The sequence below is a fragment of the Homo sapiens genome, chromosome 6 (genome assembly GCF_000001405.40).
Source record: "Homo sapiens chromosome 6, GRCh38.p14 Primary Assembly".
Classification (NCBI taxonomy): Eukaryota; Metazoa; Chordata; class Mammalia; order Primates; family Hominidae; genus Homo; species Homo sapiens.
The window spans coordinates 118,452,568-118,467,455 of NC_000006.12; the positions used below are offsets into that span (position 1 = coordinate 118,452,568).

The 14,888-nt window shown below is 38.3% G+C and overlaps 1 protein-coding gene and 1 pseudogene across 13 annotated transcripts in view; both read right to left on the minus strand.

Moving 5' to 3' along the window:
• Positions 330 to 1,485, minus strand: LOC644303 (ATP-dependent RNA helicase DDX24-like; annotated as a pseudogene).
• CEP85L (centrosomal protein 85L) overlaps positions 8,205 to 14,888 on the minus strand; it is a 249,318-nt gene continuing 242,634 nt past the window's right edge. For all 13 annotated transcript variants that reach the window (XM_011535811.2, NM_001178035.2, XM_011535810.3 and 10 more), the window contains one exon: positions 8,205 to 13,001. In XM_011535811.2, the coding sequence (XP_011534113.1) occupies positions 12,838 to 13,001 (164 nt within the window). In that variant the 3' untranslated portion in view covers positions 8,205 to 12,837. The remainder of the gene's footprint in view (positions 13,002 to 14,888) is intronic.

The following is a 14,888-nucleotide window of genomic DNA, read 5'->3' on the forward strand; positions in this document are numbered from 1 at the left end:
CACTTCTTGGGGCAGACATGAGCATAGGCATCTTACCCAATTGAGTTGGATACTTGCAGTTCAGGTCATATTTAAATAATGGTTGGGAAAACAAATAGTGTGGCTCCTTCTAGTAGGAACTTCACCTGCTTTTGTCTTCGACACTCTTTTTCTTGATCAGCTTTTCCTCCTTTATATATCTTTTTACAATTTGTTCAATCTCTGTTCAATTTGCAGAACAGACACCACACCCTCAATCCAAGAACTGTGCAGACATTCCTGGAAGTTCAAATACTCAGCTTTCTTCGTAAAGCAAAATGGATTTGCTCCTTGACCACATTCATGCACTTTATTTCTAGAGGGCTCTGTAAATCTTATTAAAGTTGATCTTGTCCTCAGGCCTAATCAGCATTAGGCCGAGGTCTTCATTGGCAGCATAAGCAGTTCAACCACTTGAACGGACATAAATCTCCAAGGTGCAATGGACCTGGTAGTGGATGGCATGCTGGACTTTAGGAGTATCCAGATCCTAAGCTGCCACATCTGTTCCCAGGAGAACAGTCTTCCATACAGGCAAGCCACTCCAGGTATCTGACTCTCTGCTTGTGGTGCATGCGAGTATGTAGGGTCAGCAGCATTTAGGACTTTGAGGAGCCTAGAAAGGTGTGTGATGTAAGAGATGTTGTTGGCAAACACTAAGGTGAGGCCTGGATACTGCATCAGGAAGTAGTACAGGTGGAAGTCTTTCTCATCAGTCTCATAATGGATCTTGGTATCTGTCAGCAACTCCATTGTGACTTCATTGCTTGTGGGGGTCAATGACCTTGGACTTGCCCCTCGTGCCAACCTTCTGCATGAGAAGGTCGAGTTTGGCAGTTTTGTCCATTTTCTTGGTGTGCTTCTTATAAAGGATTCATGCAGCAGCTTGATGTACCAGCATCACTGCGACACAAAAATCCAAGTGTCTGTCTCTCTGGGTTGTATTGGGAGTCATGAACATCTCTAGCAACTGTGAGAGCTCAGCAAAGTAGCCTTTCTCAATCATCCAGTCAGCCCCATCTACCACCAGGCACCTGAACTGCTGAAGGCTGCTCAAATGAAGGTGATTTTCTTTAACCAGCTCCCACAGTCAGCTTGAACGGCTGATCACAATATCAGGCTGACACCTGAGCATCCTCTGCTATTTGTGCATGAATATGCCACCGAACAAAATAGCAGTTTTAATTCCCATAAACTTGGCTGCAGCATCAAAGGGTTATTAGACCTGGATGGCCAGTTCTTAAGTGGGAATCAGGACCAGTCCAAGCAGGTGATGTTTTAGATGTCCTTTACAGGTAGCAACTTTGCCATTCAACTCTTGTTTTGACATTCCAGTTTGCTCTTTATCAAGCCTTTCCTCTTTGTCCTCATGCCTTGTTAAGGGAAGAAAGTTCTTTACCAGCATCATCATCATAGAAGAACAGCACCTGGTTTGAGGGGGAAGCTCTGGTCTTTGCTCTGGCCTTGTTGGGTGGTACTCTAGCCTTAGCTCAGCTTCACAGGGGAGTATTTCACTCTCGATTCCAGTCTCATCAGGCAACATTCCCGACTCAGTTCCAGCCTTGCTTAGTGATCCAGTCTCAGCTCTGGACTCAGTTCTGGGCTCTCCAGGTGGTATTTAGTGTTACTTGGAGTTAGGGCAAGCTTACTACTCCAGCACTGCCAATACTGCTTGAATCACTGGAATGACAAAGACAAGAGTTTTCCCATATCCTGTCTCAGCATCCCCAAGGATGTCTAGTTTGTCACAGATGACAGGTGTCAAAGTCAGGGCTTCTTAGACTGGTGTAGGTGCAGAGAAACCTAGAAAACCTGCTGCTTGGAGAATGGCTTGGACATAAAAAGTCCTTCAAGCTGATACATTCACCTTCTAGTCAGGCATCAGTGTCTTTGCTTTTTGGGGCACCTTTGGGACAGTGCCATGGGGAGGCTTAATTTTTTCCCTTTTTCTTCTCTTTTGGAACAATCTGGGCCGGGCTTTCTGATGCCCTCTCCTCTCCTCTGGGTCAGGACAAATCATACCATCTCCGATTTGGCTCTGGTTCAGCATCTTTGACTTCAAACTCTTTCTGGACACTAATTCCTTCAGTTTCCACATCTTTACTTTTCTTCAACTTGATCATTTTCTTTGAGGAGCTACACTTTACTTCCTCCTCTTCTCAAACAGCTGGTGCCTTTTTCTTCTTGGATGCCTCCTTTGAGAAGAGACTGGAGGAATTCTTGGCAGAGGGGACCAACCAGTAATCTCAGTTCCTCAAAGCATACCACATCAGCCATCTGTCCACTTACAAACATATTTGGGTCTACCTTCACTTGCTTCCATTTCCCCACAATCTTGATTCCTTTCATCTGAAACTTCCAATAGTTTGATGGTTTTGATCTTGATTTTGTCTCCTTCAGCTTCATGGTTGCATTTGGAGATGGTTATCACAGCTCCTTCAGATGCTGGCTGCCTCCTCCACTGAGTTTTAATTATCATATTTTTCACTTCTAAAAATTTTGATTCCTTTTCAAATTTCTTTATTTTTAGTGCAAACTTTTCATTAAATTATGATACATAGACAGGCCGGGCACAGTGGCTCATGCCTGTAATCCTAGCACTTTGGGAGGCTGAAATGGGTGGATTGTCTGAGCTCAGAAGTTTGAGACCAGCCTGGGCAACATGGCGAAACCCCATCTCTACTAAAAATACAAAACATTAGCCAGTTATGGTGGCACATGCCTGTAGTCTCAGCTATTCTGGATGCTGAGGTATGAGAATCGCTTGAACCCCAGAGGCGGAGGTTGCAGTGAGCTGAGATCACATCACTGTACTCCAGCCTGGGGAACAGAGCAAAACTCTGACTCAAAAAAAAATTATGACATACAGAAAAGTGCACACATTATGAATATAGCTTGATGAATTTTCACAAAGTGAACACATCTATGTAAACCTCACACAGATCAAGAAATGGAACATTCCCAGAAATCCAGAAGTTATCTTGTGCTCTTTCTACTCTTCTCATGGTAAGTTTTACATGGTTCAGAACTTTATATACATCTAATCATACAGTAATTCCTCTTTTATAATCTACATCTGATAATTCCATTATTTGAAATACTTAGGATCTAACTTATTTGTTCATTCTATTGACTTTTTAAAAATTTTTGGATTTTGAGCTCATGTATAGAGGGAGTTCTGTGAGGAATCATTCCAGGGAAGATCAGTCTTGTTTCATCCAAGATTCCCAGGAAGTTACCAACTCAGAATTCTTTAAGTCAACTTCTGGCCTCAGGATTTCTAGGGCCCAAACACAAGTTCAAACTCCACTCTACATGAATGTAAGATTATGGTTGCAAATTCTCAAGGGGACGTTTTTCATCTTGAGCTAAGTCCTTGAAAACCAAATAACCTTTTAATTTCCTTTGACTAAGGGGTAGATTTTCTATCTCTTCCTTTCATTGAAAATGTGATCATTTGAGAATCTTGGTTTTATGTAACTGTCTTAGTTCCAACTCCCTACCTTACATGAACCAAAGCCTTGTCACTTGTCCTCTATTTAACTTAAAATTAAAGGTGTTTCTGCTTAACCACAAGATATAATTTAGCAGCACCAATGATAATATAAACTGTTATCATGAGCTTCCTAATATGATGAATGAGAAATATACATTACTAATGTAGGAGTTTGGCTACAAATGTTTAACCTGAATCTAATAATGAGAAAACAGACAAATCCAGATTATGGCACATCCTCTAAGACATTGACAAATGGCAATGTTAAAAAAGTTCAGAAATTCTCTGCAAAGACTTAATGTTTTTCTTCTTAAAATTCAGATTTGAGAAATAATTTGTTTAGGATGTGGTGTGGAAGGATAGAACAATGGCCCTCCCAAAGATGTTCACATCCTAATCCCTGAAACCTGTGAGTACATTAAATTACATGGCAAGGAGGCATTGAGATTGCAGATTGAATTAAAGTTATTAATTAGCTGACCTTGAAATACGGAGATTATCCTGGATTATCTGAGTGGGCCCAAGGTCATCACAAGGGTTCTTAAAAGGGAAAGAGAAGCAGAAGAGACCCAAAGAAATGATATTGTGAGAGGAACCCAGCCTGATATTGCTGGCTTAGAAGACCAAAGAATGGAGTCATGAACCAAGGAATGTGATCGCCTCAAAAGCTGGAAAAAAAAACAAAAAACAGATTCTCTCCTAAAGACTCCCTGCCAACACCTTGATTTTAGCTCAGTGTGACTTATTTTGGACTTCTGACCTCTAGACCTGTAAGATAATTTATTCTTTTAAGCTAATACATTTTTGATAATTTGTTATAGAAGCAATAGGAAATTACTAAAAATTAGATGTGAGGGAGAAGAAATCACCAAAAGGATTAGTGGAATGGAGGTGCAACTCACAGAAATGGTGAAGCCCTGTGATGAAGCCTTCCCAATGAGGTTTGGGAAAGAGGAAATGAATTTAATTTTGAGCACAAACCTGGGACAAGAGGCAGCCTCATGAGGGGCACAAAGCAGCCTCTTTCTTATTACAGCTCTGCCTCTTTCAAGCTGTTCCAACTTGGACAAGATACATAAACCCCGTGTCTCAATCTCTTTGCCTGAAGTGGGGATAATAATAGCACCCTGATAATAATAATGCCCTACTTCATAGGGTATTATATAGAGGAATAAATGGGATAATTTATGCAAGGTCTTTTTACTTGGCATGTGCTCAAATGTTGGTTAATAATGATGATGATGATGATATAGAAGACACACTTCTGTGCAGTGTTTTAGTCACCACAGGCCACTAAACAACCATGTTTCATGACTATATGGTCAGTATAGGAATGAAGAATGTAAATTACCTTGCTTCCTTGTTTACGAGGGTTGTCAACTGTACTATTTAAAATATTCTAGACGTGTGTATATATGCAGATGCAACTTCATTCATTTTGAAAAGTAATTCTGCCTTTATTTTGATTAGTTTCTTTGGGTGTAACTTGTTACTTGCTTTCTGCGCCCCACCCCCACCCGCCTTCTGTTTTTGTTTTTTGAGATGGGGTCTTGTGATGTTGCCCAGGCTAATCTTGAACTCCTTGGCCCAAGTGACCCTTCCACCTTCCACCTCAGCCTCCCAAGTAGCTGAGATTACAGGTATGTGCCACCATGCCCAGCTGCATTCATTTTTATTTTATTTTAATTTATTTATTTAGAGACAGTGTCTCACTCTGTTGCACAGGCTGGAGTGCAGTGGCGTGATCTCGGCTCATTGCAACCTCCACCTCCTGGCTCAAGCGATTCTCCTGCCTCAGCCTCCCAAGTAGCTGAGATTACAGGCATGTGCCACCATGCCCAGCTGCATTCACTTTTAATTTTCTTTATTTAGAGATGGTGTGTCACTCTGTCACCCAGGCTGGAGTGCAGTGGCACGATCTCGGCTCACTGTAACCTCCACCTCCCGGCTCAAGCGATTCTCCTGCCTCAGCCTCCCAAGTAGCTGGGATTACAAGCACCAGCCACCATGCCTGGCTAATTTTTTCTATTTTTGGTAGAGACAGGGTTTCACCATGTTGGCCAGGGTGGTCTCAAACTCCTGACCTCAGGTGATCCACCCACCTTGCCCTCCCAAAGTGCTGCAATTACAGGCGTGAGCCACCATGCCCAGCCATGCATTGATTTTTAGAATTGATATTTTGTTCCTCTTTTAAGCCAGACTTTCGATTTGCTTTTACAATATCTATGCAGCTGGCCTAAAGTCCAGTGAGAATGTTATCCTCTGAGAGCACTGGAGCTGGGAAACAACTGTGTCCAATCCTGTGGCCTGGACCTACAGAAGGGTAGAAAGTGTACAGCTGCAGGAGATACTAAAATGCAACTTGCTTAAGTAGGACTTATTATCACTATACCCTCTTTCCATTAAAAGCTCCATGTCCTTCTAGGGCTGTGCTTAAAAGACTACATTTTCTCCTTGAAAATAGAGCTCCTCCACCCTGGGGTAAAGGGCAGGTATGTACACATTTCTGGAAGTGAGTTTATCCTAGTTGCTAATTAAACACAAAGTTTGACAAGGTGCTTGTCCTAAAAGAGCTCAAAGTCTGGTGGAAGACTGGCACTCAAACAATTAACAAACAATGATATAAAAAGTTTGTTTCAAGAAGAATGAGACCAAGTGCTTCACTTTAACTGGGGAGACCCATGGAACAAGGGTGGCAGCATGACAAAGCGCAATCCTCCAGAGGGAAGTGTAAACCAAAGTCCTCTGGTAAATGGGAGGTCTGTTTCCCAATTCCTATCCACTACTTTGTTATGTATTAAACTTACTCCATTTTCCAAAAAGTATATAGAATAAAGTGACTCTCAATCAGTTAGAACCCAAGGTTGTAAAAGAATGCTATTTTTCAACTCTGGATGGAAAGATCTTACTGACGAACCTCTGGGCTGTTTCCAGTTTGGGGTTATTTTGAATAACCTGCCATGAACATTCATCTACAAGTCTTTGTGAACATGTTTTTATTCATCTCAAATAAACACCTAAGAGTAGAATTTCCTGGTCAAGGACACGTGTACGTTTAGTTTAAAACTTTTATTAGCAGGTACTCAACAGAGATGAAGTGAGATTGTTTAAAAACATGTTGGCTAAAATGAAAAGATTTTTTCTTTTTGTGATCACATCAGGTATCTGCCAAGGATAGCAATTTTACTTAAATTTTTTTTAAAAAACTTTTACTATAATTTCCAAAACTGGAATCTCCTCTAAATCAAGGAGAATGTCTTAACTGACATGTGAGAGAGCTATTCATTTGTAAACTGTTGCTCTACTGGATCCACTCTGCCATGTTGTGCCATTATTAACATCCTATTTCATACCTCTTTTTAACTGAGTCCTCTGCTCTTCGACATAGAATGATTGTTTGGTTGGGGAAACTTGTCATAAAAGAAATTCAAACTATTGGCAAAATCCTAGGATGTACCCTATCAAAAGCTTTTTGTTGATCACCTCCCTCCCCTATCAAAAAACTTTTTTTCCAGGTCAAAAATAGTCCTTTCATTCTGAAGGAGAAACTTCTTTACCGGTCACCTTAGTAATATTCTAGGATTTTATCCTTCCTGCTCTTATTTCTAAGACATTTGCTTGCAACCTAAGTAGCCTGTGATGCAGGATCTCCAAAGTGTTTCTTTCCCTGTTAACTTTAATGAGTTAACTCATTAAACACTCCAACAGAGCAATGCCAAATTATCTAAACTGGTAACAGATACCGCTAATCCAAACATTAACCAACTGCCTGTAGAAATTGAGGCTATAGGCTGGGCGTGGTGGCTCATACCTGTAATCCCAGCACTTTGGGAGGCTGAGGCAGGTGGATCACGAGGTCAGGAGTTTGAGACCAGCCTGGCCAACATAGTGAAACCCCATCTCTACTAAAAATACAAAAATTAGCCGGGCATGGTGGCACGCACCTGTAGTCCCAGCTACTCGGGAGGCTGAGGAAGGAGAATCACTTGAACCTGGGAGGCGGAGGTTGTGGTGAGCCGAGATTGCACCGCTGCACTCCAGCCTGGGGGACAGAGCAAGACTCCGTCACAAAAAAAAAGAATAAAAAAAAGAAAAAACTGAGGTTATAACCCACATGTGTTAGAACAAGGACTTAGGATGCCATCCGCAGGGCACTTTTGAGACTAGACTGGCAAACCACCAAAGCTGAGATGTCAGGGCCCCTGTAGGCTTTATTTGCATATGTCTTAGTACGTTCTTAACCTTTGATTAGAGGGTGGAAAATAAAAGATTTAACTTGCCAACCAAAACTTTCAGCAACGTAGAATACTGAAGTCAGATTCTGTCTGTTGGAAAACTAGAAAGAAGACTCCTGGTTTAAACAGGGATTCTAGAAAGTCAGAAAGGAGACACTGTGCTATTAACTGAAATGGACACAGGCATGATTTCCTATGTTACAGTACCTGCCATCAGAAAATCTCAGTACCCTTTATGAGAAGGCCCTGAGAAAAAGCTTTTTTGTAATTGGAAAGAAATTATAAGATAGAAGGCAGAATTCTCCATGTTTTAGTCAAAGATTCTCCTGTGCATTTATACAAAGCTTTCACCTAAAAGTCAAGACAGCACATTCTTGTCATTGAGAATTCAGAATAGAGAGTCTGAAAGTACAAATACATTCTTATACTAACATTAGGCTCTTAGAGGACATAAATCTTTTTATAAAAAATTTATTTCTCTGTAAATACAAATTCCAACATCAACAAACAATAGTCCAGTGGAAAAATACTAGCCATTAACATTGAAAACTTTTTTCTTAATTTAATAAATAGAACTTTGGCATTCAAAATTCTAGCTGTAAACCCTATTAAAAAACAGAACAACAAGAAGAAAACCCCTTTACAAAAAAAGAGGCAAGAATGATAGATCAGAAGGCATAAGCCAACCAGTGGCTTCACATTCTTTTTTTTTTTTTTTAAACAATAACTGTATTTCAATTAAGTCATGAACACTGTATTTACACATGAGGTATTCTGGGTGGTTCAAAAACTGAACCCAGCTTACAAAACCACCAGTCATAGTGACTGATTATACACTGTGCTGTGCTTTTTAATGTAACCACCTAGCACCTTACTACTTCTTGTCATCACAACAATGCGATGTTAAGTTTTATGTTTATGTATTTAACTATTTATACATATATGTACATATACATACACACCAATGAATACAATCTAAAGGAGTTTCCAGCTCACTACACAGGGAAGGCTGGGCTCCAAAGACATCTATCTGATAATTCCCCTCATGTTTACTAAGGTATCCACCTAGTAACAAAAAACGGCTCCTTGCTTTAAAAAAAAAAATTCCTTAATCAAGTTTATATACAGAAGAACAAGGTGCAATAATCATCAACATTCTTAGAACTCATGTAAAATAGAAATAAATGCTTACTGCAGGCAAAAAGGCACAAAAGGTTCTCTCTGTGTACAGCTGCAATAGTGTTATTAGACTTGCTGATTTAAAACTATATTCTTATATTTAGCACTTTTTTAAATAAGAAAAAAAATCCAAAATCTTTCCCATACATGATTAAATATATGATATAATCATATGGCAATATGCCACCCATGGCATTTTGGGGCAAAGTTGGAAATTTTGCTCTTTATACCAAATAGGAAATTGTTCCTGTTGTTTTGTGAACATGAATTGTCAAAAATGGAAACATGGCAGTTTCAAATGATATAGTCTGAGTGAGCATGGTTATGAAAATTGCTTATTACCATAATTACATATCTACAATGATATAATTCCTACGTAAGAGAATGCCAATAATCCAAACTAAAGGTGTGCCTAAGCTGAACTATGCTGTGAAAATATAGTCCATGTTCTTAGCTACTATGTTACTTAATGAACTATTACTGATATTTAAAGAACATTTTCCCAATTAAGTAGCTCCTTTAAAAACATCCTCTAAGAAATTAATAATTCTTGCACTATGAAAGAATTACTTTATAAGCTCCTTAGTATATCAGAAATGTATGACATTCATTTTAGCAACACTTTCCAGCCCTTGAGATTGTCTCTACAACAAGCTATTGAAAGAAGTCTAATTAGGTTTAATAAACTGTCACCACCAAAATAAATTTCACTAAAATATAATACTGTTAGCATTAAATATTGAATCCTAGGTGCCACACTTCTTTTAAAATGACCTCAGGAATATCTTACCTAGCCAGTATTTGTGGTTTTTTGTTTTTGTTTAATTAGAGGCCACTGAAAATTAATAGTTCAAATTAAGCCATTTTACTTTTCTGAGCTCAAGTGAAAAGATAGCTATTGTGCCTTTGATTCAGTGAATTTTATCTGTACAGGCAATTTGGGTCTTTCATTGAGTCAACTGTTACTTTATGCTTGCTGTAATGTGATTGAGGCTGAATAAGCTCAACTTTAAAACCCAAAAGAACAAAATATTAATACTGGATAAGATACTTTCTAAGCAAACAAGTGTTGGATTCACAAAAAGCACAATTAAAACGAGGTTTCATTATCTAAGTAAATTTTCAAATAGATTCACTTTAAAATTTAGGTTAATTTTCATTTCAGGAATATATTGGTGTCATAACTTCCACGAACATCCTAGTTCAAACTGGGTGAGATGCTCTAGTGTTGCTATTTGCCCATCTTATTTGGTCTAACAGTAAAATCTGTTTTTAATGTGATACAGAAGAGGATATTCTAATACAAGAGGGTGTCCTGGGAAAGGAAAATTTTCTGAAAAATAAAAATCAAAAAGTAAATACTGACAAACTAGATAGAATACTATTAGTTTCAATTCCCCCACAAAATCCCTCCAAGTCTATCTACTGTTTATGTAGGCCCCTTTACAAACTCCAGATTTTAAGAGGATCAATCTATAATTCAGCTAACTACTTAAACTAGCACATCTTAACTCCCTTTTTTATGGGGGGAGGGTACAGATTTTGGAAACTGAAATGCATCAGCAGTAGTTTTGTTAACTTCCTACTAAGTCAGAAATTTTTTAACTTTGGAATTTTATTTTTAAGATACGTGAATTAAATTACTTTCTCTAAGTTTTAGAAAGCTAACTTACAAATAAATTATTTTATCCCCAACTAAGCCAAAAAACAAAAACGTATCTATAGTAGATTAAAACAAACTGTAACGTCTGCTTAAAAAAAAAAAAATAAATAAACCCATAAAATCCCAAAACATACACTAAAAATCTAGGAGAGATATTTAAGTAAGAACCTACTGGTCCAATTAGTGATTGTTTGCCAATTTGTTCTATTATTTTAGGAAGCCTTTATTTCTAAAATCATGGGGGAGGGTGGTTGGGATTCTATTCAAAGAGAGTGTAAAAATATTTGCTGCACTTGTGGCTGATCTATTTTAGACGTTATTATCTGTTTTACCATAAAGGACCAAGGCAGAATTCTTCGCATCACATTTTTGGTGGAAATTTACTATACCCTGATTATCGTCAAGCTACTAATGTTAAAAACCAAGTGAATATAATTAGAAAGCCAAGTTCTTACCAGTGACTAAGACCCTCCTTAGGTTAAGGACTCTGGGATGCAGGAGCACTACAATGTACTTACTGATTTCTTAGTGCCCAGATTCTCAGAAGTAAGAAGAGCAGGAAGGACTCAGACACCAAACAGAAGGAAAATCTGATTTCTTTACAGTGTATTATAACTGATTATTCAACTATAACTATAAAATAATCTATTGAGAGCTGTATAGCCAACATTTTAAACTGTGTATCTTCCTGGGTAGTCTCCTTGAAGGCCTTGTCTCACATTTTCACTTTTAAATATTTAAGAAAAATCTTTCCTAGGAGAGCCTTTATTCTAGTATATAAGAAAACAGGCATGTGCTATGCCCTTTATCTGGCAAGAAAACAGGCATGTGATATGCTCTTTATCAAATCAATATTATCCTGCTTGAGTCACACCCTCTACCCCTCCATCTCTTATTTAGTCTTGACCTAAATGAGACTTGGTTGCATCACAAGATCAAACCAACTTACAAAGGACAAGGCTTTCGCCAAAACTAAGTATATTCAAAAGAACATAATCAATGCTGAAGGCAATAAAATGTATAATCCTTCCAAAATACCAACAGAAACATGGACAACACTCATTTGGAAGTTTAAATGACTGTACGTCTACTGCAAAATCAACTGCATTTCATAGTAATACCCTGTAATTCAGATTAAGAACTAATTTCGCCAAGTTCATATCCTGTGAAAAACTGTTGTTAATGTACTTTAACAAAAGGGATTAAAATACAATCTCAATTAAAAAATGTTTATGCTACTGTTGATTCAGATATAAATAGTATTGGCTTTCTCTTACAGTAGTTTCAACTTTGAAACATACAAAACTGTTAAAATGTAAATGTTGAGATTTGGATAAGTAAGCTATTGTTCCAGGGTAACTTTGTTAATCTTCCTTTTATAATAATGATCCAATGCCTTTATTAATTATATATGGCTTTGTTTACATTTATATATGTATATATATAAAACATATAAATAAAAAATTGTAAATAGTAAGGAACATGTTAAAATTAGTTCAAGTTATGTTAACCTTTCTTGTAACACATACATTACAATGCTAAGGAAAAAGAGCATCACGTCAAAATTTCACACCTCTTGGGAAATCCACAATCACTCTGGAAAAACAGCTGACCTATCTACAGTACTAAAATCAGCTCAACCACAAACATCCTATCAGTGCAGTAAGTGTTCAAAATATAAATGGTTTTGCCTCCTGTACTACCATGACAACACTTGCCTGCTGTTTGAACTCTTGTTCAGCCAGCCACTGAAAATCCCAAAGTACAACACAAGCTTCTATATGAAAGAAATATAAGAATAAACAGCGTGTGCCTTTCTCAGAAGCTCTGCTCTGACCCTAGAAACCCTTATAAATTTGTGAATAAAGCACGTGCACACACACACAACAACACACATACATGCACACACAAACACACAAAGCTATAGGATTAAAAGGAATCCTACTCCTTCATGTGAAGGGTACTCTTCACAGCTTGGTCCTACAATCAGTAGTTTGAGAATATAGACATTTTTTTCCTTGTAGATTTTATCATATTTTCCAAAGGTAATTTGATTTTTTTTCTTTTTGCCTGATTAGATAAGCCCCTTCAAAATCTCTTCACTTCCCTTCTCCCCTTCAACAAAACAAATCCACAGAAAAAAAATCCCTAAGTGCAAGTCATGTCACTTGCAACCTTCCATTATGGCTCCATAACACAGCAGCATTTAAACAACAGGTCATTATTGCTGTGGGACTAACACTTGATCACTGAGTAATGCAGTTGTCTCCCATGTCCTGAGCATAGCGGTCTGATATTGTAGTCCTTAATTCATCAATGTCTCTTCGTAACTGGCACACATCTGACAGCTTTTTAGTGAGTGTTTCTGTGCTGTGGTCATTCTCAGTCTCTTCAGCTGAACAGTTCATTGCTGTGTAAATAAAACATAGAGAGAATATCTCACATTTTTTTGAACAAAGACATTTTAGAATTTTTCACCTTAATCATCATGGAAATACAGTGCTACACACTGAATACCAGTGAGGCTCAGGTTCAAGTTATGTTTAAATCATGCATCATTCAATATTAAACAGATCTTATCCACTTGGTCCTTTATAAATTTCACAAATTAAACTGAATTAAATGCACACAGTGATACACACAAATTCAGCATGTTTAATGGGTAACAATATTCCAAAAGTGAAAAAAAGCATACTCTAATGTCTCTCTTCAAGCTCAACTAGAGCACTCAGTTTTTCCCATTTGGCAAAATCTGAAGACCATTTGTGTAGTAAGAGGTGGTATCTTACATATTTACGACTGCAAAGTGGGTTTACTGCCATGAAAATATTAATTTTCAAATACATAGTAAGTGTCACACACACACACAGAGGGAGAGCGGGGAGGGAAAATGAGAGAGACAGAGAGGGAGAGGAAGAGGGAGAGGAAGAGTGAAAGCTGGGACCCTACAATCCCAAACAATTTAATCAGGCTGATAGCTGGTTGCCTAATGGCTGAATAACTGAGGGCCTTGAGTCAGCCAGCTTTTAGTTATTTACTTCAGTTCTTCTCTTTGTAAGCATATCTCAACATAAAATCAGGCAGAGCCAGTGATTACAAAAGAAACCTCTCCTTATACCTTCATAGTAGTTTATTGTAGGCATAAGAGTCAGTGAGTGACTGTTATTTTAACAAATGTTAACTGAACATCTGCCATGATATAGGAACTATGTTAGATGTTGAAGTCAGAAAAGGAACAGACACAGTGGCTTGTTCTCGATGCTTTACATACAATTTCATAAACAAATGAACACAGTGAGGTACTGTGGGTAACCTACCACTATATACAAGTTGCAGTGGCATAAAAAAACAAACAACTAGTCCTAACTGGAGAGGTAACAGTTGCTTGTTCACTGGGTTGGCCAAACTGCAAAATGAACAAAAGTGGAGTCAGAAAGCAAAACAGTATGATAGAATTTGAGAAACCTCAAGAAAATCAGTATCTAGCTCTAAAATGGTAGAGTACAAACTGTGACAAAGGAGAGTACCAAGAAATAAGGCTATAGAGGTAGGTAGTAGCTACCTATCTTGACCACAGAGCAGTGTAGGCATTAGGAAACCAGGTTCATAGTTTAGACAGATCTGTCTGGCAACAATGTAAAATGGATTAGGGGGAGGGGATGAGAAAGATGGTTGTCAGAGAGACCAGTATAGGTGACGGGTTATGAAAACTTAAATTAAGGCAATAGTGCAATGGAGATAGAAGGGCAGGAATGTTAGATGTAGTAAGCAGATGACAGAACTGATAGCACTCAATCATCATCAACTTGAGTGATGGGCAGGGATTGGGCACAGGCGCCAGATGAAGGAAAAAGCAGAGTGGAGAATAAATTCTGGGTTCAAGTGACAGGTGAATGGTGGTGTTACTCACTGAGAAGAGGAACCGGTTCAGGGAGGGAAGGAAAGTGTGTTCTGGTTTTGAATGTGTAGAGTCTGTGATGCATTTGAAATAGCCAGTTCTAATATACATGGGAATATAATCTGGAGCCCAGAGGAGATAAATGTCTGGGTAAAGGAGATAAATGTCTAGGTGAAAGGTATGGCAGTAACAGAAAAAACAGGAGTGGATAAGATCACTCAGATAAAGTACTGAATAAAAAGAAACAAACACAAAACCAGTAACAAAAGGCTTCTGGGGATACCAATAATTAAGTGGCAGAGAAGTCCACAGAAGACAGAGACTGAGCAGTCATAAAGGCAGAAGCAGAACCTAGAGAATGATGTCATGGAAACCAAGGTAGTGCACAGTTTTCAGAAG